This window comes from Homo sapiens, chromosome 4 (genome assembly GCF_000001405.40).
Source record: "Homo sapiens chromosome 4, GRCh38.p14 Primary Assembly".
NCBI classification, from domain to species: Eukaryota; Metazoa; Chordata; class Mammalia; order Primates; family Hominidae; genus Homo; species Homo sapiens.
Genome location: NC_000004.12, coordinates 176,653,724 through 176,676,497, shown reverse-complemented (window position 1 = coordinate 176,676,497; position 22,774 = coordinate 176,653,724). Strand labels below are relative to the sequence as shown.

Below are 22,774 nucleotides of genomic sequence, written 5' to 3'. Positions count from 1 at the left end.
GAGGTCAACCTCTCATTTTTACAAATAAAGTTATGGACAGTCCTGAACTTTTAAGAATTCTTTCACCAAATTCATATGCCTTGATTCTCTCTTCTCTTATGAAAATTTATTTTACCAAGGACTTTGCATCTTCATACAGAGGTTTCCCTGTTTGATGCAAATCCAGATGCAAATAGATGCAAATCCAAATATGCCTAGGTTTTTCAGAAGGTTGCATTTTCAAACCCACTTTCCCTGGTAGAGCCTGGTAGAGTTTCCCTAACAGAATACCACAGGCTGGTGGCTTAAACAACAGAAATTTATGTTTTCACAGCTATGGAGGCTAGAAGTCCAAGATCAGGGTGCCATCCTGGCTGGTTTCTGGTGAAGCCTCTCTTCCTGGCTTCCAGATGGCCACCTTCTCACTACGTTCTCACATAGATTTTCTCTGTACATATGGAGAGAGAAAGAGTGAGATCTGGTATCTGTTCCTGTTCTTACAAGGACACCAGTACTGCTGGCTGAGGACCCCGCCTTTATGAGCTCATTTAACCTTAGTTGCCTCCCTGAAGGTCTTATCTCAAAATACATTAGAGGTTAGAGCTTGAACATATGGATTTGGGGGAGGGGACACAATTCAGTCCTTAGAAATCTTTGTGCCCAAATTTTAATTAGCAAGAAAAAGTCGAATATGAATCAAACATTTTGAAACCAATGAAAATATCCCAAGACAGTTAGAGTATCTGAGTAGTGTTGAGAGCTGGGGATAAAAGAAAAGTAAACAAGAATTTTACAATCTGGAGATTTGCAGAGAGAACAATTAGCTCAATTATTCAAGTTATACTGAAAACTCTACCTGAGAGAGCTTGTTGAAAAACGGCTTTACTGAGCTTGAAGTAAAAATGATAAAATATCTGTATGCATGAACTGGATTTTGCTCCGAAGTCGGACTTAAAAATAGCTGCCTTGATAGTCTGATGCCCCACATTGTAAGGAGCTTATATTTAATTCTAAACAATTGTTTGATGCTTTCATTCATTACCAATATAGTAACTAAATTACTGGAAGGAACTCTGGTGATAACTGTGGCAATCTATAAATGGTTTTCCAAGCAGAAGATAAAACTGATGGCCTCACTCCACACTGGGATTCTATGGGGGACCAAGAATCACAGCCACAGTTGTTGATTTCAAAGGGCAATTAATTCCTTGGTTGCTGGTTACAAAATTCACAATTATTTTAAAGGTTAGAACAGTGCCTGATTCATAATAAGCCCTCACTATGTAATTTCTATAATCTTGGGTAGTTTCAAATGTGAAATTCTCTTTCTAAGCAGAATTAAATTAATTAATTAATTTCTAAGCATCCAGAAGTTAAGCCTCAAAATTCTAAGAGGGAGGAAACTTGAGAAAATATTGGTATTTGGTCAAACATCAAATTTTAGAATCTAAATTTACCACCACTATGATTATATAAAACAATGTTGTAATGCATTTTGGAATCAATCATACTTTTTGTTACATCAGGTCATGAAACTGTGCTTCAAATATATCATTCCTGACATTTCCTCCTTTAATATGTAAAACAGCACACAGAGACTGGAAGTTTGCTGTGAAAGATCAAGATAAATATTCCAAGAATGAGAGGCAGTTTTGACTGCATAAAAAATGTTTTTGAAACGAAAGAAACAGAAAAGAAATGAATATGAAAAAATTAAATGTACCTGAATATTAATAACAAAAAGTTGAAAATAAACTTTGAAAATAAAATTTGAATTTTTATTCAAATTTCTACTTGATTAAGAATTTCTCACATTTCAGTAGGAATTTTTTTCATTTTTAATAAAAAACGCTTTTTTCTTAAATCTTATAAACTCAGTTTAAATCAGAACTTTTCAAACATTAACTATGAGGGAATTGTTACTGCATTTTTTAAAGGCAGCATGATCTGGAAAATGTCACTAAGCAATGCGAAATGTTCCTGTACTTCAAACTGAACAAAGGGGTAACACCATGTCCTTAACATATAACTTGCTTATAAAGTTATATGTAACTATTAAGCAGCTGTTGGAAAAAAATACTCTAACTCAGCAATAGCTATGCTGGGAATTCTCACCACATTTCTGGTATATTTGAATTTAATTTTTATTCTTTCTCTTGTCAGAGGAAAATAAATTTATAGAGATCCACTGAAATCCAGTGTAAATTTCTTAAAAGATGAACAACAGAAGGTTCAGTCAATGTGATTCAAAGCATAGTTTGTCAAAAAGGTTAAAGGTTAAGGTGTAGAATTGTGAGAGCTTGGAGGAGAGGTGGCAGTAATTTAAAAATAATGCTGTAAATATCTTCAGACAAAGAGTGTGTGCATATATAATTTTGAAATACTAGTAGACAACTAAGTAAAACAGGATCGTACTATAATGTTCATAAAAATATAGACTATCCTCCATATTGTAAGTCCCACCTTAAATATTATCCATAGGTTCCAGCTTTCAGGTACTATTTTTATTTTACTATAACCATAGAATATTCCTCTATAAGGACTACTTCGTACACATTTGGGAAATGAGCTGGTCTTGAAATAAAACACTATCTTTATATATTTTGGTAAGGCAGCCACAACCTGGCGGACTATATTCAACATCTGAAGGTGACCGGGCATCCACAATTGTAAGCAACTTTACGATTTTGGAAAAATATGCTAATACATATTGTGTTAGTAGCATTTTAAACTATGTTTAAATAATTTCCAATTGGTTAGACATGTGTCATTTTGTTAACATGATATGTGAAAAAGAATAGATTGACCCAAATAAACTATGCTAATGAAGTTCATTTGGTGTAGGAGAAAGAGCCCAGTTTGAATGCCGACACTCCTCAATAGCTGTTAGGTCATGTAACCTCTCTAAGCCTCAGTTCCTTAATCCACATTGGGGTCAATGTTGCTGTAAAGATTCAATGCAATAGTGTCTATCAAAACCACAACAGATTTTGCATGTAAACGATGATCAATAAATATTTATTCAATACCCCATTTATTGTCCATGCATATGTTAAGGTTTCAGTTAATATTTTGGCATTAAACATATCATAAGCCAATCACATATTTCATTTTTTCCTATATTTGTTTACTCCTTTGGAGAAAGATTGATTTGATTAGTCAAATTCCATAAGATCTTTCCTTTCAGCATCAGTCTGTGCTCACTTTTATTAGTAGTAGGTACAGGTGGGGAGGAGGAAGAAGGTGGAAAAGAGAAAAAAAAATCACAAATTCAACATTTTAAGAAGCAAACTTTATTTTGCAGGATAAAAGATATCAGATACAACAGAGTATGAAATAATTCATTTTACAACAGCTATTGTAATCTGTTATTTTATCTACTACCTCTTATTAAAAGTAATAATTTTGGAAAAAGTTCATGTTTACACTAGAAAATGAATAATGTATATATGAGAAAATTAAAGTAGCCCATCATAATACTATTCAAACATACTTATTACATTGTTTATATTTTTATGACTATTTTAATGAATATACAAAACGGATCATATGACTTATACAAATTTGTTTCAGGCAGTTAGCACATAATTTTTTGTGTACACATTTTTGTTTTACAATGTTTCAATTTTGAATGACCACTAATATTAAAGCTGAACATAATTTTTCACCCTTCATATAATAATAATTTGTATTTGTTTATATGTTTTTGTCCATGGATCTAGTTCCTCAAGCTAGTTCCTACTTGTAGAACCTATGGGTCAAAGCTATTAATTTTTTAGGCATCATGATACAAATCCCAATATTGCCCTCCAGAAAATATGGTGGCCATTTATACCCAATAGTACGAAAGACTGAAGTTTCATTGCAACTCGACTAATACTGTCTTCAAAAAATCTTGGCCAATTTGTGAGTGAAAAAGCTATCTTAATTGTTTTCATTTCCAGTTTTATTGATCACTAGTGAGGTAGAACATGCTTTCAAGCATTGACAAAGTATTTCTCTGTGACAAACCTATTCAAGGCTTTTGTCAATTTTTATTGGATTGCTTTCCTTATCAAACTGTATGAGCTTTTTAAGTGTTAATACTACTTAACCTTTGATATTCTGCTTGTTTGCATTTTTTTGTTTTCTATTATCTTGAGAATGTAGTTTTTGTTGTTTCTAGGTACAAAACAAAATGTTATGTAGTCAAACTATTTTACTTTGCTATCTTTCATTATATTGACCTACTTCCCCTCTCCCTTCTTCTTTTTTTTTTTTTTTGTTTTTTTTTTTTGTTTGTTTGTTTTTTTGAGACAGAGTCTTGCTCTGTCGCTGGAGTTCAGTGGCACTATCTCGGCTCACTGCAACCTCCGCCTCCCGGGTCCAAACGATTCTCCTGCCTCAGCCTCCCGAGTAGCTGGGACTACAGGTGTGAGCCACCTCACCCAGCTGATTTTTGTATTTTTAGTAGAGACGGGGTTTCACCATGTTGGCCAGGGTGGTCTCCATCTCTTGACCTCATGATCTGCCCGCCTCGGCCTCCCAAAGTGCCGGGATTACAGGCATAAGCCACCGCGCTGACCCTCCTTCCCCTTTTAAAAGAAGTGCTGTTGCTTCCTATACACCAAAGGCAGAAATCAGAAGATATTTCAGGGTTATATAAATGTTGAGGAAATGTCATTACTCACAGAGGAATATCTACACGGCACTCTAAGATTGAAGCTGGGATATGAACTAAGTCTGTATCCTCTGTGCTCTCAGTGTGGAGGAATGTTCTACATGGCAAAGCTTTCACTTCCTATTTCCTTTCACGGTTCTACAAGAAGGGCTTTTGACTCCCCTGGCAGGCACATTCACGTGCTCCCCCGGATTGCAACACCGATGATATTTCACTGAACACGCTCGTTCTTAGATTAGAAAATTCCTGGAGTCGTCGCATATCCAGCATAAGGAGGTGAAACTATCCAGAGGAGAAAACAAACTTACAAAATGTAAGCATGACAGAAAATCTGTGATATAAATTATCAATTATTTTGTCTCAAAAAATCTTATTTTAAACAAGTAAATGGTTACTTAATGGTAATATATACAAAGTTTAACTTTTTAAACAAGAATTTATTTCAGTGTATGGTTTGATTTATGTTTTGCCCAAATCATTTAGTCAATTTCTCTACCAATATTTTCAAATAATTATTTTCTCCTGTGGGATGTGTGTGTGTGTGTTTATTCCATGTATCTTTTATTATGTATTATTTTCTTATGTATTTTTGGTTCCTTCCTAGGCCATATACTATTTTTATTCATCTTTTTTGATTCTTTCATCAGTATTGTGATATTTTAGCCTTAACCATTTTTTTTCCTCTGGTGAATACAGCATGTGTTCCTTATTTCTCTTCTTTTACCTAATTTTCTTAGGTCCTAATAGCCACAAGGACTTCATCTCATAAGACATAATATCAGTCACTCCCACAACTTCCGTACTTTGTATTTTCTGGGAATTTCAATCTCCAAATGATGCCTAAAGGTGTGTGAAGGGGAGAATATTAGTTTAATCACCTCAAAATTAGCACCAATACAGAAGAGGAAGGGGGCCTAACTTCCCCTGGTGATCTCTCTAGCCAACTGTCACACTGTGGGAGAATTACCTAGCAACTTGCTGTTTTATTCAGATCTGCCTGACTGCTTTGTTTCAGAAGGCAAATGACTGGATCCATCACCAGCCTTTTTCTAAACCTGATTATTTCAGTCTTAGAGTTTGTTTTTTTTTTATAAATTCCTCCAGATACTACCTGTCATCTGTCTAGCAGAGAGTTATTAGCGGTCTTCATAAGAATTTTACTACAGAGTTTAGAGAATTGAATGAGGGACTTCTAGCCAGTCTGATGGCATTTTATCTCCAAGTCCCACTGCTTCTTAAGATTATGATGTTTACGTAGCACAAATATTGAAAGAAGTCACATCTTAACAATTTGTCTTTTCCACATGCTGAGGATAAACATGCCTTAATTTGGAAATGGCCTTTACAACTTACTCTCTATACAGAAGTGGCCCCCAAAGATGGTTACAGAATTGACACCAGCTCTTGTTAGTCACCAACCAGGTAACTTGTAAGGAATCCTGGCGAAGGTGTTTTCTACTGAGAAAAATATAAAATAACTTCTTTCTCTTCTAATGGCATTTTATTGATCTTCATATAAAAATATAAAATCTTTCTGTTAATGTCAAAAACAACATAGGGTAAGAGGAAGGTTAGAAGCAGGGGAGAGAATGGCACTCCCCGAATGAAAGTGGTAACAGAATCTCAATTGAGGTTCTGTGTCCAGCTGTGCATGTCCCTTGGCAATAGGTGTGGAATGTATGAGGTGTTTAATTTTCATTGTACAAAATTAAAAACATCAAAATAAGTGTTTTTAGCCTCTGCTATTTGTGCAGCATAAAGACTGAAATCTATTGAAATAGAAAGGTCTTATCATTAAGTAATCAGAGCTCATTGTTGGTGGCTCATTAATCTGAAAGTGAAACTGAGGATCATTAAGTATAACATAATCATATTTTAAATATAATTGAATTTTATATACACATGTGCACTGATTCACTAGGCTTCTGTTGTGGGAATAAGACCTGTTCTTTGGAGTTAGGTGTTGGCTTTCTTACAGACATAATACCTGCGATCCTTTGTTTTTAAGTTTTTATTTCAATAAAGTGGATTAGAAATTCAAGTTTCTCAAAGCAAACTGTAAAAAAAATTATTTTTTGTTTGACCCAAACATTGATACTTGACTTGTGCGTACCTAATCGTTCAGCTTTTTTTAAAAAAATTGACTCACCTTGACTGTGTCTTTCCAAAGCATTCAGTCAGTTTTCCTAGATTTTCTAGTAATTTTTCCATATATTATGTTTCTTTTCAATGGAGTCGCTAAATAAGAAGAGAGCATTGAATAAATATGCATGCATTCATTTCACGTAAATAACTCACAATGTTATTATATATTTATATATAATATTATATAAATGCTTGAAAGATACATTGTTTTGGTAACTAAAACAGACACATGTGTTATTCAGAGGATTCAAACTGTGGACTATGATGTTTCAAAAAACTACTCTTTCACTGTTCAAGAAGACGGCACCTAGGTACACAAAAACAAACAAAAGCATCAAGCTAACTGTTCACAAATAGAGAACAATAAACTAATAGTGTAAGTGTGAACATGCTGGTGGTTTTCTGTATTTTCTCATTTTATATCCTTACGATGACTTCGTAGTACTCAGGATATGCTCAAGATCAATCCATTTATCTTTGAAACTTTTAATTATGTAGTCTTTTTTCCATTTCCTGCACCCCCACACTCACATCTCAACCCCCCAATGGCAGCTCTAGGAAACTTCAAAATAACGTGTCTGGTTAAAAGCTGAATGATGTCTGTTAAAAGCCTATGCTACTTACAATAAATAAGAGTAATAAAAGAATACAAATTTAACCTGTGACCTCTTTCAATCATGAAATGGCTTTTCAGGCTACAATGCCATGAATATTTTCCAAACAGAAGTCAAATAAGTTGCAGGTAACAGAGTACATTTAAAACATTATACCTTGCAGCCTTCTTGTATTTTTTCTTCACATAGTATTATGAGCAATAGACATATTTGAAAGAAAGAATCATTGCAGAAATAGTCTCAAATTTCATTTTTTTCACTTTTGCCCTGTTGCTGTCCTCATTTCATATGATAACCTTCTCAGAAAACTTCAGCTGCATCCACCCACTCAGTGTGCTCATATACTATGGAGCCATTTGTATGAAGAAGTCTCAAACTATCCAGTTTGATTTTAGATACAATTTCTAATAAATCAGTATCCAGTAATTTATGTTTTGTGTTTTTTAGACAGACTAAAATATTCAAATGTTATTCATTCTATTTAAAAATATTTACTTCAGTCCGCCAGTTTTTTTCTTTATCACCAAGGAAATCAGATTCTTTTTCTGTCCACAAGTGACTGTGACTAAAAAGAATTTCAGTACTTTAGACAGCACCTTTCCAATTTTGTGTCCTGTCAGGCCCTGTGAAGACATTGCCAGGTTGGCAATCCTCCTATTTCCTGCCTAACTTTATTCTTTCATATGTGCAGTCTGTTTACCTACTTTTTTTTGAGAACAGAATAACTTTAAATCGCCAGAGCCTCATGAGCTCCTGTGCCACATAATTCTATTTATAGCAAACCAGATATTTCCATGTAATTTCATAGTCTATGAAATGTTTTCTTCATAGTCAAGTAAACTCAACACGTTCACTTTTGAGATGATATCTAAAAAGAAAATGTTATCTGCCTCAGACTAAAGGAATGGGTTTCATTTAAATGTTTCCTGTTTTCAGTATATCGCCTGAACTATTATTACAAAACTATCATTTGTAACACAAAGTCTGACTCAATTATAAATGAAACTCTCACAACTGAATTTTAGGTCTAGTTACAAAAATATATAACGAAGTTGAACTACTGAAAAAAGAGGGTGATACCATTCTTAGTTGGAAGATTGAAGTGTCTTCACATTGGATTATAGGACTTTGAACCAATGAGTTAGTTTAAGACACTTCAAATGATTGACAAAATGAAGAAATTTGGTATTTTTTAATCATGTGCAGCATTAAATAAGTTGCAATAATGGTCACAAATATTCATCTATCTTTGCATTTTAAACATTACACCCCAAACCATCTACAAAGTTGAAGAGCATGAGAGCAGAATGCCAGAATGCTTAGTATAAGAACATTTCCAAAATACATACAATTTCCACAGAAGCACCTAGCACCAGTTTTTGCACATGGTCAGACGCACACAATGTTAATTACTCTGATGTCAATTATGAAGAATATATTTTTGCCCAATAGATTGATGTACTTTTAAATCAAACTGGAATTGAAATGTTTTACACAATATACCCTTTATTCTATTCAGTGCTTTCACCCCAAAGGCCTATATTTTCTGGTATTAATAGCTCCACTCTTTTAATTCAGTTTGCAATTGCCTCTTTATTTTCTGTCTTCCTTGATTCATTTGTTTTAAGCTTGTTTCTTGAAAACAGCAAATATGTTTTTGAATTCTAATGTAAGAATCTGATTTGTTCATATTTAGTTTAATGTCCCATATAATTGATTTATTTTATACACAATCATATTATTTATTTGTACTGTTATTTCCTCTTTACTTATTATCCTTATTATTGTTATTTTGAGACAGAGTTTCACTCTGTCACCCAGGCTGGAGTGCGGTGGCACAATCACAGCTCACTGCAGCTTGGACCTCCTGGGCTCAAGCAATCCTCCCACCTCAGTCCTCTGAGAAGCTGAGACTGTAGTCTCGCACCACCACACCCAGCTAATTTTTTTTGTGGAGATGGAGTTTCACTATGTTGCTCAGGCTGGTCTTGAACTCCTGGGCTCAAGCAATCCTCCCCAACTGGCCTCCCAAGTGCTGGGATTACAGGCATGAGCCACCACGCCCTGCTCTTTATTTTTGTCGGTTTGATAAAGAAAATCCACTTCAAATGTCCACTCAATTTATTGATAATTTCACTTTCTGTCCTCTCACACAGAGATTCAACTATAATATGAAGACAAGATAAAAACCATTTTCTCTAGTAAGACCCACAGTCCTCCTATCCACCTCAATTAGATGACGACTTTGCAATACATTGATCTCCATCATCTCGTAGTCTTTTATTGATGTCCCATGGTAGCAGTGGACTTTCCCTGGTTCACCTCACATTTCCTACCCCTACGTTTGCTAAGATACGTAAAATTCTCCTTTATTTCCTGCATTTCATCTCCTAGCTCCCCTACACTTAGGCGAGGCCATCAAACAGTCCTTGGCCAATAAAATACAAGAAGTCATGTTGGGTTTTTCTGGGCTGAGGCAGTGAAAAGCCTTTGTGGAATTCTAGAACCTCCATCTTCCTCTCCCAGGAAAATCAAGGATCAAGGGGAAGCGCTTGTCTTAAGATGGTACAGCCACAACATTTAAGCAGCTTGAAATTTGAGTGGACTCATGGAGGTTGGCTGTTTGGGAGATTTGCTCAACGTAAAGAGGATTTGTATGAGCAAGTGAGAAGTGAGCTTTTATTGTTGAAAGCCACAGAAATCTGGGGGCTGAGAGTTACCAAAATATAGCTTATTCTATCCTTCCCTTTCAAAAGTCCTAGTTACCATTTGCATTATATATTCTCATCCATGCAACAATGTTTACATGTATTTCCTTTCTGCTTTTATTTTCCCCTGTCTTGAGCTCTGTATAATGGTCTATTCGGTGATTGGTTAATGTCTTTTCTCAATTCTTTTTCTCATGGGGTAAATGCATGATATGTATTCTAAACTCTCTTTTATATTTTATTTAGGCATATGCTAGCTCAGCTTGATATCTTGATCTATAATTCTTTTTTTTTTTTTAATTTGATGGAGTCTTGCTCTGTCACCCAGGCTGGAGTGCAGTGGCGCAATCTTGACTCACTACTGCAACCTCCGCCTCCTGGGTTCAAGCGATTCTCCTTCCTAAACCTCCTGAGTAGCTGGGATTACAGGTGCCCGCCACCACACCTGGCAAATTTTTGTGTTTTTAATAGAGACGGGGTTTTGCCAAGTTGGCCAGGCTGGTCTCAAACTCCTGACCTCAGGTGATCCGCCCGCCTGGGCCTCCCAAAGTGCTGGGATTACAGGCATGAGCCACCGCCCCTCAGCCTTTGATCTATAATCGTTGAGTTGCAGTCATGTGTCATTCACTTATAGATATTATCCCACTGTCTTCTGGCCTACATTCTTGCAGAGATATATGTCAGGCCAGTTGCACATTTTCTACTTTGGTGTAACAGGTGAGTTTAAACTTGAAGCTTATCTGGTTTCCACTTGATATTTAGCATTGGAGACCTTTATGGAGAATATGTGTGCATGTTTTGTTATTGACCCAACTTGGAATTGAGTGTGCCCTCTGAAATTTCAGGTTGAGGTTCTTCTTCAACTCTAGAGATATTCCTTCTATAATATTTGTGGCAGGCAGCTTCTAAGATGGTTGCCAATAATCTCCACCTCCTAGTATTCCCACTCTTGTGGAGTCCCCTCGAATGTTATACCAAGGCTGAAGTGTTGCAGCAGAGAGTAGAAGAAATGGCAAGTCACTCCCAAGATTCAGGTATAAGACTTTGGCTTCTATCTTGAGCATTGTTGCTCACTCACTTTCATTCTCTTTCTTAAATCACTTGCTTTGGGGACACCCCTGCTCTGGGCTGTTCTGTTTAAAACAATTCATATGGTTCACCTTCTACCAGCAGCCACATGAGTTAGCTGAAAGTGGATGTGTTATCAACAGTCAAGTTCAGAGATTGCAGACGCAGCTGAGAGTTTGACTGCAATCCCATGTGAGGCCCTGAGCCAGAACCATTCCACTAACCCTCTCTGGGATTCCTGACCCATCAAAACTATGGGATAAAGAAAAAGTATACTGTTTTAAGCCACTTCGTTTTAGGATAATTTGGTTACACAATACAATATTATTCGTATATGTATTGCCCTTTCGCTATTTGTTTTTTTCTTCTAGAAGTTCTGTTAATCACCTGCTTGACTTCTTAAATATATCCTCCCAAAGGTATTTTCGTTTCCCTCATATGTTCATCTCCATAATATTTTCATTCTGGACTTTGAAATATTTTTATACCTCATCTTCCAGTCAAATAATTCAAGCTTCAAAGGTGATTGACTTTTCTTGCTATTTATCTACTGATTAATTGGAATATCATGATTTTAATTCCTATGTCTCATTATTGATCATTAAGAAGTTGCCTGTTTCTGCAGAAACACCTGGGGGAGTTCTACTTTCCCTAGACTCGAGACAAGGGAGACTCAGCTGGGGTGTTCAGCTCCTTCTTTGGCTTTTGAGAGTCAGATCAATAATGTGAGACCAATGGAGATCTTCCTATAGATCTCCACAGATCTCAGAAATCAGATCCCAGGTCATTCTCAAGTTACCCTGCTTTTCAGTCTTTGTCCTCAAACTAAGATGCTACTGTCTAGTGTCTTAAATAGCCAATAGATTAGAGTCCCCTCACCCCTTCTCTGTGTCAGAGCCCTGGAAGAACCCAAGCCTGCACTTTCGCTATTGCATGTAGAGCACAACGCTTTTTAGCCCAGTAGACGCAAAAAGCTGGGAGTTAGCAACGGACAGAAAAGAAGTCACTGTAGATTATCATTTGCATAGTCAAATTTCAGAGAAAAAATTTATTTTACTATTGAATCTTCAGTCTTAGAAAGTTATGGCCCAGTGCGGTGGCTCACACCTGTAATCCCAGCACTTTGGGAGGCCAAGGTGGGCAGATCATGAGGTCAGGAGATTGAGACCATCCTGGCCAACATGGTGAAACCCCATGACTACTAAAAATACAAAAAATTAGCCGGGCGTGGTGGTGGGTGCCTGTAGTCCCAGCTACTTGGGAGGCTGAGGCAGGAGAATGGCGTGAACCCTGGAGGCGGAGCTTGTAGTGAGCCGAGGTCGCGCCACTGCACTCCAGCCTGGGTGACAGAGCGAGGCTCTGTCTAAAAAAAAAAAAAAAATAGAAATAGAAAGTTATAATATATGCAAAATATTGTTCAGTAAAAGACACTAGTGTATTGGGATCACACAGCCACTTCATGGAAAAAAACCAGGCTATTTCCTGCTGAAAGTAACTGAGTTAAGGAGACTAGAACCATAATTTTATTGGCTTTTCAAAACCTGTAATATATGTGGGGTAAATATATTCTTGCATTTCAAATGATATGGAATCATACTCAATCCAGGAACTTTTCATCTCAATAAGATCTTTTAGCTATTTTTGAAATTAAGTGAGACAATACATTAGACATAACATGAGATATTTACACACATTTTCTTCAATTCTTCAAAATCCTAACATTTCAGTTATAATTGTTCCCATTTAGAGATTTGGAGAATGAGAAGCTAGTGGTTAAACGTATGTGTTCTAAATACAAAATAACAGGTTATTGAACTTTCTCAGTCCTGGTTTTTTCATACTTAGATGAGGTTAAGAATCATGCCTATTTCTAGGATGGTGGTAGAAATTCAAAGTGAGGGCTCAGGAAATCAAAGTTGCCCTGAGTGTTAAGGAGAAATATTATTTTGAAGCAGAGAATAGACATGAATTGATTTTTAGTAGTGAGGTGAGTGTGCTGGGGAGCATAGGGTGAGGGGAGCCTAGGGTGAGGGGTGTGGTTTGGGTTAAGGCAGCATGTCCAGTGTCCTTTGGAACACTCTTCTTCAAAAGCTTGAGAGAAATAAGAGGAGGCTTCCAATGCCTCAGCAATAAGGTCTACATTGCCATATTCACATGCATATTTTAACCACCCTGAGTATAAAAGTCCTCCAAAATCAAGATGATGAAGGAGTATTTTGCTCCAAAACCCCCTTTTTCTTCTAATCACTTAAAATCCAGCTCAAGAATCCGCCAAATCCTGAATAATTACGTGAGAGATCTAATCTTTCTCCCGCGTTGTTATAAATCACAGAAAACAATGTTCAGCTTTAGCCCCACACAGTTGCAAGTACAAAGTACAAAAAGAGCATTTCAACAATCACATGCCACCAAATAAAATTATGGCTATAACGGTGCTCAAATGTGTCAACAAAGGAGAATAAACCAGGATATCTGTAGACACAGAGGTCTTACAAATCGGGAGCTCACACAGGTGACTGCTTGGCCCACTTCTAAAGCCACCCCAGCTGAAACAAAGGTGCCAGACCCGTTGATACTACAGAACTCCTTTCATCTGCCACTGGGCAATCATAATGATAATAACAGTAATAATAATAATAAATAAGTTGCCTCTAGCCACAAATATCTCAACTATTTCTCTTTGAGAGAGGCAGTTATACCTTTACAAGGGCGACAAGGTGATCGACTGGTCTTTATGGGGAAGTTGGAAAACTTCCAAACAGCAAAATGCTCACATATTAAATTCAGTGGCAGGGGACAGTTGAGGAAGGCAGAATTATTTCTCCATGAAAGAACATAGATGACACTAATATGTCATTTTGAAGGTGCTGAAGTCTAAGTAAATCCAAGCTGCTACAGATCAGAAGTCATGAGAAAATCCCAAATTATTCATCTCAGCCTTGACAGTCCAAAACGACACCCAGAAAAGTGTGAGGCCAATGTTCGAGGAGAGGAAAATTTTTATCTGAAGGTTTAGAGTCAGCTCGTGCTTTTGGAAATTCCAGACCTTGCCATTTCCAATATTTTCCACTCTGCCCTTTTTTCCTCGGTCCTACTCATCGATAATATTCCAGTGTCATAATTTTTACTATTTATTTTCAAAATCAAGTTTTTTAAAAGTGATTTTTGAGTCCATAAAAAGAGAATGCCTTTACATTTGCAATGAAAAACAGTAAGCCGGGTAAATAATTATTATGTCTTCACGATTGAGAGAGTCTGCTCTCTACTGAAAACTCTTAACATATTTTCTACAGGCAGAAATTGAGAAGTTAACCATGTAGTATACTATTCAGACCCTCTTTAAATATTGTTATTCAAAAATATAAAGCTAAACAACTCCATTAATTAATGTCCTTTAAAAAAACCTGCTTCTGTGGGACATTTCCTCCAGGCATCTTGAGGAGTTATTTAGGCTCACCAAAGAGTTCACTGTCTGGAGAATTATTAAGGCAGAAAAAGAGAAAAGTGATTCAGGTATTATAAAAATGTTTCTTTTTCCTTAGTGCCTTTTATATTTTTGTTAAATTTTGTGTTCCGAATCCTTTTAGACCCTCTCAGCTCTCAAACATTCATGACAGTACCAATCTTTTCCTTAGCCATTGATTCGCAAGGGCAGTGATTCAAGATTTTTACATGTTTCGGGGGGAAGGGTGGTGGTGTCTGTGTGTGTGTCTATTCTTAGCCATTTAGTAGTAAAGATGAATTGAAAAGTTGATTTCACAGAAACTAATGAGTATTGCTATTTCTTATATTGCTTTATGTGCTTTCCATATAGATATTAATTTAGTCTCCATTGCACTGGGTGAGGAAGGTAATGTGATCTCCATTTTAGAAATGTGGAAAGTGAGGCACTAAAAGGTTGAATAAATTTTCCTAAACTAAGAACTAATAAGTGATATACCTGGGAATTGAACCCAGAGCAGCTACCTCCAGAGTTCACTCTCTTCACTACCTGGCTGTTGGGCCTTAAAACATTTACACTGTATTCTTATGGACTCCTTCAATGAGACACAATTGCTAATTCAGGAGCTGTCTGCACATTACATTGGTTTCCTGATTTATTATACAGATGGGGGTGAATGCTTGTTCATCATGAATGCTGATTCTGCTTGGTTCCCTTAACCTAAAAAGAGTTCTCTTTATCCTAAAAAGACATGATTTATTTTAAGATAAAAAAAAGAATTGAAACTTAGCACATGTTATAAACACCTAAACAAAAAAGGAGGAAGATGGTGTGGCAAGTGGCACAGCAGTTGCCCCATCGCAAGTCCTGTCCACTCAAATCTGTGTGGGCTGTGACTGATTGAGCCCAGTGGGGTCATGGGGCTCTCCAAACACCCTTTCAGGAGGATCCCTTGGTTACTCTGCTTCCATGCTATGAGGACTCAGCAACACAGAAGAGCCACATGCGGATGCTCTGGTGCACATTCCCCGCTGAGCACCGCCTTAGATTCATCCCAGCTCAGGTGCCAGACATAAGGGTGAGGAAGCTTCCACATGATTCCAAGTCACTGTCATTCCAATGAAGCCCAGCAGAGGCCCCAGATATCACGGAGCAGAGACAAGACATCTCACTGAATCCTGTCTGAATTCCTGAACCACAAGATCTTCGAGGAAAACAACATGATTATAATTATTTGAACAAGGTCTGAGGTGCTTTATTTATGCCATCATGGTAAATGAAATGGAATTGGGGATCTAGAAATGAAGTACCACCAAAACAAAACCTAAAACAGGTGGAATTTGTTTTTAGGATTGTGTGTCAGACAGATGTCCAAAAAGCCTTGTAGTAGGCTAAAAAATGCCCTTCAAAAGATGTCCACATCATCACCCAGGAAACTGTGAATGTTATCTTTTTTAAGGTTCTTTCCAAGTGTGATCAAAGTATTCTGTGATAGGGAGATTTCCCTGGATTATCCAGGTGGGCCTTAAGTGCAATCACAAATGTCCTTATAAGGCAAAGGCAGAGGGAGATTTGACCGCACCCAGAGACAAAGACAAAGTAAAAACAGAGGCAGAGATTGGAGTGATGCAGCTACCAGAGGCTGGGAGAGGTGAGGAACAGATTCTGCCCTAGAATTTTTCAGAGGGATTGGGAGGCCGAGGCAGGTGGATCACCTGAGGTCAGGAGTTCAAGATCCGCCTGGCCAACATGGTGAAACCCCATCTCTACTAAAAATACAAAAAATTAGCCGGGTGTGGTGGTGGGTGTCTGTAATTCCAGCTACCCAGGAGGCTGAGGCGGGAGAATCGCTTGAACTCAGGAGGCGGAGGTTGCAGTGAGCCGAGATCTCGCCATTGCACTCCAGCCTGGGTGATGAGTGAAATTCCATCTCAAAAAAAAAAAAAGAATTTTCAGAGGGAGCATGGCCCTGCCAATATCTTGACCTTCCCCAATGAAACTGATTTTTGACCTGTCCTCTGGAACTGTGAGAGAATAAATTTCTGTTGGTTTAAACTACCCAGCTTGTGGTACTTTGTTGTAGCTTCCACAGAAAAGTAACACAGTCCTCAAAAAGGGAGTCAGTGAAAGTGTGAAAGAGACTGAGGAGATTGTTATTGGAAGCTAGAGGAAGGAAACTTGTATATATAATGGTAGAAAGCTTGTCAACACAGTTACCACCAGTAATACGGAAAATAAGAAATATGCTAATGAACTTAATCAAGGTAAGGAGGTTTTTGGAAGAAGAGTGTAAGGTGCATTGTGGTTTCTTCTAGCCAGCTATAGTAGAATGTGAGAGCAGAGAGAAATTAACTAAAAAATAAACTCTTCCTTTTCAAGAACAACTATCAAGGGTTTAGGAGAGTCTTTCCAGACAGAAAAGGCTTCTCAATTAAGAAAGAGTCATTGATTCAAATATTAAATCCAGAGAGCTAGCAGAAAAACATTGTCTTGGAATCAAGATGAAACCTTAGATGTGACTACAAAACCCTTTATGCAGACCTCGGAAAAATTTATGTTTGTGCCCTGTAGACACACTGAGATGGACCAAAAGCTTTCAAACCATCTTCAGGGCATGTCTCTGTTAAGAAAAATATTAAGGCTTCTAAAGGTCTTAAGAATGTTATTCCAGGTTGGGTGTGGTGGCTCATGCCTGTAATCCCAGCACTTTGGGAGGCCGAGGTGGGCAGATCACCTGAGGTGAGGAATCCGAGACCAGCCTGGCCAAAATAGTGAAACCCTGTCTCTACTAAAAATACAAAAATTAGCTGGGCCTGGTGACGGGCACCTGTAATCCCAGCTACTTCGGAGGCTGAGGCAGGAGAATCTCTCAAACCCAGAAGTGGAGGTTGCAGTGAGCCAAGATTGGCTCTGCACTCCAGCCTGGGTGACAGAGTGAGACTCCCTCTCAAAATGTTAGACTTATAAATTGACATACAACAAACCCACAACATTTTTAAAGAAATTATATCAGATGGGAATAAAAGGGACAGAGACAGTATCAAATGAAAAAAGGCTTTTGAACTCCAAAACTTTTACTGGCAAGATACATGATTTAAAAAATAAAGAAACAGACAAATACAAATCTGCTTAGCTGTAGACATGGACTACTCCTTATAAAAAGGAAAAATGACTCGGGTGGAACAAAGAGCCCAGGATGAATATAAGAGCTGCGGAGAAGAACTCTCAGGTTGTGGGTCTAAGCCTTATCAAGGAACTGGTAACATGTTCCCTGCTGGATTTCAGAATTGCTATGAAACAGTGATTATATTTTCGAATAGCAGTGGTTATCCTATATCGGTTTGACTATTGTATGTTCAGTGTTTTGGAGAAAGATAACCTCTCTCTTACATTCACAGGTCAGATTGCAAGAAATACTTGAGGAACTGCACTCGAGGTGTCTTATTTACATATCACCCATTTGATTGATTGACTGATTGAGATGGGGTCTCACTCTGTCACTCAGGCTGGAGTACGGTGGAGCAATCACAGCTCACTGCAGCCTAGGCCTCCCAGGCTCAAGTGACCTCCCACCTCAGCCTCCTGAGTAGTTGGGACTATAGGCATGCCGCCACGCTCACTTAGGTTTGTTTTTTGTTTGTTTGTTTTTTGCAGAGACGAGGTCTCATTAAGCTGCCCAGGATGGTTTCAAACTCCTGAGCTTAAGTGATCCTCCTGTCTGGGCCTCCTAAAGTGCTGGGATTACAGGCATGAGTCGGCACACCCAGCCCCATATCACCCAATTTAGATGATAAGATTCTGGACCTTGAGTCTAAAATGAAAGTCAAAATGGAGACTTTTGGGGGTCTTGGGAGAGGGTGTTTTTATTTTGCATGTCAGTGGGATACAAATTGTTGTAGCCCTAGGGCAGATTGTGGCATGCTGCATTTTCTAAAGATGGCCACCAAATAGATCCCATTCAAAATATTTCTCTAAAATGTGCGTTGCTACTCTCCCCTCAAAAAGTGTAGCCTATGTCTCCTTCTCTTGCACCTGGGTGGACTTGTAGTTGTTTCAACCAATAGAGTACAACTACATGTGCAAATGCTGCTATGTGACCTTTAATACCAGATCATAAGTATCATAATGCATTTATGGTTGGGATGTTTGAGACCCTCACTCTTTGGACATCGCCCCTTGGTATGTTTCTCACAGAACCTAGCTACAGGTCTGGGTGGGTTCAGAACTAGCCTGGAACCTAGCCATAACTGTGGAACACCTACCTGCAGCCTGTCCAGTGGGTAAATATCCTAACCCAGTTCCAGTCAACATTTCCAGCTGAGTCCAGCCTTTGTTTTTGTTCTGTTTTTTTGAGACGGAGTTTCACTCTGTCACCCAGGCTGGGTGTACACACAGTCCTGGGTGTAACTGTTCTAGGGTTCTTAATGGCTTTAGAGCTTAGCCAGGCTAGAGTGCAGTGGTGTGATCTCGGCTCACTGGAACCTCCACCTCCCAGGTTCAAGTGAGTCTCCTGCCTCAGCCTCCTGAGTAGCTGGGACTACAGGCGCGTGCCACCATGCGCTAATTTTTATGTTTTTAGTAGAGACCGGGTTTCACCATGTTGGCCAGGCTGGTCTCGAACTCCTGACTTCAGGTGATTCACCTGCCTTGGCCTCCCAAAGTGCTGGGATTACAGGCGTGAGACACCATGCCTGGCCCTTAGTCCAGCTTTTGGGTCACATCAACTCAGGTACTAGGGCACCAGACGGGCTGCTGAGTGAAGAAGACCTCAGGTTATTCCAGCCCTCAGATGTTTGAATCACCTTCAGCTGAGGCCACAGACATTATGGGCAGACATAAGCCATCTCTGCTGTGCCCTACCAGAATTCCTAACACATAGAATCAATGAGTGTAACACAGCTGTTGCAATTTTATAGTACTAGGTAAATAATAGTTGGTTACATAACACTGGTAACCAAAACAAGGCTAGATCGAAGAATACAAGAGTAAAGGAAGAAACGACTAAAGAAACAGAGAAGTGGCTGGGCGCGGTGGCTTACACCTGTAATCCCAGCACTTTGGGAGGCCGAGGTGGGTGGATCATGAGGTCAAGAGATGGAGATCATCCCGGCTAACACGATGAAACCCCATCTCTACTAAAAATACAAAAAATTAGCCGGGCGTGGTGGCGGGCGCCTGTAGTCCCAGCTACTCGGGAGGCTGAGGCAGGAGAATGGCCTGAACCTGGGAGGCGGAGCTTGCAGTGAGGTGAGATGGCGCCACTGCACTCCAGCCTAGGTGACAGAGCGAAACTCCATCTCAAACAAAAAAAAAAAAAAAAAAAAAAGAAAGAAACAGAGAAGTGAATAGACACGGACATTACAGATGCTATTGTTTACGTGTCTAGGCCATTTCAGCAATGAGGCTTTCCATGGAATATAGAACTCCTGGATAGGGATAATTAGGCCAGTAAGTAATAAGGGCAACAGGAAACATACACAAGAGCAGCAGGAAGAAAGCGCCAGCGCACTCTTGTGTGACTGCTAGACAGATGCTGGAGAATATGTAAGCAAGTAGTTTGTTTTTAACTTAGCCTGATTTGCCAAAATACCAGTGATGCTTTAAGCATGGGAGTTAGAGGCAGAAAGGAGGAGGGAGAGTGGAAAGGAATTTTAAATTATCAAAGAAAGGTTCAGCCCAAACCATTTTAATGAAAACAAGACTTTATAGCAAAGTTGCCAGATATTCCAGTGGATTCAAAGCCTTTTTAATTCTTAACAGTACACAAGACACTTTTTCTGCAATAACTTCTTTCCTTCACAAACACAGACATATTCATTTTGTAGCCAGCATTCCACTACCAGGTAGGCCTTTGCATCTCCTATTAAAAACATGGTCCACTTTTTGAACATATAGAAAATATTACATTTTAGACCAAACTCTATACTCTTTTAAAATAAATTATCTTTAACGAACTAAAAGTTGACAGAATCAAATGCATTATTCTGATTTGGCACACATCAACCTGCTCAAATAAAGAAGAGCAAGTCTTCCAGTGGAGGAAATCTCATACTAAAGAAAAGTAATACATTGATCCAATTATTCCAGTAGGCAACCAAACTCATAATTAAGAACTGTGTCAAGAACAATACTAGTATGTGTAAGTGCAAACAATGTTAATTTGACCAGTAACCCAATTGCTGCAAAACAAATTATAGAAATTTAGCAGCTTAAAACAGCACACGTTTATTAGCCTACCTTCCTATAGATCAGAAGTCCAGAAAGCTGATTCTGCTCAAAGCCTTACAAGGTTGAACTAATGATGTTGGCTGGCCTGGACTCTTCTCTAGAGGTTCTTGGGAAAAATCTGCCTCAAAACTCATTCACGGTGTGGGCAGCATTGAGTTCCTGGCTGTTGCAGGGCTGAGTACCTGTTGTCTTGCTGGAGGTTGACCAGGGGCCCCTAGCACCACTCTCATCCCTTAAGCCATCTGTTTCAGCTTTCATATCAGCAGTGATTAATTTCCCTCACGTAGAATTGTTTCCATGCTTAGATTATTTCTGACTTACTCTTCCGCAAGCAGCTGGAGAAAATTGTAAAAGGCTCATGTGTTTAGGTTAAACCCACCGAGATTATCTCCCTATTTTAAGGTCAATTGATCAGTAATCCCAACATCTGCAAACTCTCCATGCCTCGTAATATAACACGATCAAAAGAGGAACATCCAGCAGAAGAAGGTCACGGGTCATCTTAGAATTCTGCCTAACAGATAACTTGCTATCATCAATGGAGCCACACTGTAAAAACTACAAACAAAAGCCACGAATTGACCTTCATTCCTTCCTACTTAGATGGCCAGTTTCAGCTCTTAGGAAGTGAAAGTGGCCTATCAGCTGGGTCTAAGTTTTAGAGTCAGAGAGAACTCTGACTTCTACTTCTGCCTCTAACCAACGCTGTGATTACACACACCTTCATTCATCACAATGAACCTCAAGTTCTACCATTTGGAAAAAAGGAACAAATAACTCACATTCCAAAGGGTTTTTATGAGGATTAAATGAGCTAGTACATTAAAGGATATCTAGTGCTATGTGTTGTACACAGTGGGCACTCAAAAGAAATTCCTCAGCCCTGCCTGCCGTTCCTGTATAAAGCTGCAGCTGGGCTATAAGCACAGTGTTGCACTTCATCCTCTATCGCCTCAGATACTTAGTATATTTTCTTTTATCAGTATCCTTTATGAAGCATCCACTATTGTGTCCAGCTTTGCATCTGTAACACTAAATGAAGGCAGAGCAATAAACCATCAGCAGATAAATATATCAGATTAACTTTAGGTATAATGGTAGTTACACATTTGGGCTATATTAGTTTATATCAATGCATGGTTACTGGCAGAATTTGAGATGAATGAGAGAAAAAATAAACATTTGGAAAATTTGATTTCAAATATAATGCCTATAAGTCCTGGAAATGTCCTATTAATTCTATTACAATCTTAGTTTTCAGAAGAGTGTACTATAGTATTAGTTATATTTCTCTCTAATGATTTGTAAAGTTAAGTAACCAATATCTATTTTTGTCATGATTCAGATAATGCCCTTGAGATTGATATGTATACTTACTCCCATCTTGCTGATGGAACTTGAGACCAATTTAAGTATTCTTCCAGGACTTAAATAAATTAATGGCAGGACCAGGAAGATTGCAGAATAATTGTCTCCTACTGCAGACCAAGCCCCAAGTCTTACACACACCCCTGAGGTCATAATGCTACCTTTGTTGTCACTGCCACGTCTTGCAAATGTTTCCACCATCACATGCATGGAGATGGCTTGATGCCATGAGGTGAGTGCAAACCAGATGCAAATAGCAAGTTAACCTAGGTCATAGTTTGGTTTGTTAGGAGCTGAGAATTCCTTGCCAATCCAAAATGCAGAACTTATGGTTCAGAAATATCAGATTCCCAAGTTTATTTATTCCTGTTCTTCAGAAAGCATCCTAGAAAAATCACCCACTTTATATTCAGTTGGTAATAACTGAGGAATGGACATGGAAAGTCACAAAGACTTGAAGGAAAACAGATGTTTTTTGTTTTTTCTCTGATACTGGAAAAAAAAAAAAAACCACAACAACTTAGAAAAACATGACTTGCTTGAGTGTTTTTTCTCCATAAAA

General features: G+C 38.3%; 1 long non-coding RNA gene across 1 annotated transcript in view; it reads right to left on the bottom strand.

Moving 5' to 3' along the window:
* Nucleotides 1–22,314, bottom strand: part of HAFML (HuR (ELAVL1) associated fibroblast migratory lncRNA) — a 51,960-nt gene extending 29,646 nt beyond the window's left edge. The window contains exons 1-2 of the long non-coding RNA NR_183975.1: nt 22,222–22,314; nt 6,789–6,877 (exon numbers count right to left, since the gene is read on the bottom strand). This is a non-coding gene — a long non-coding RNA (HuR (ELAVL1) associated fibroblast migratory lncRNA). The remainder of the gene's footprint in view (nt 1–6,788; nt 6,878–22,221) is intronic.
* Between the last annotated feature and the right edge of the window lie 460 nt (nt 22,315–22,774).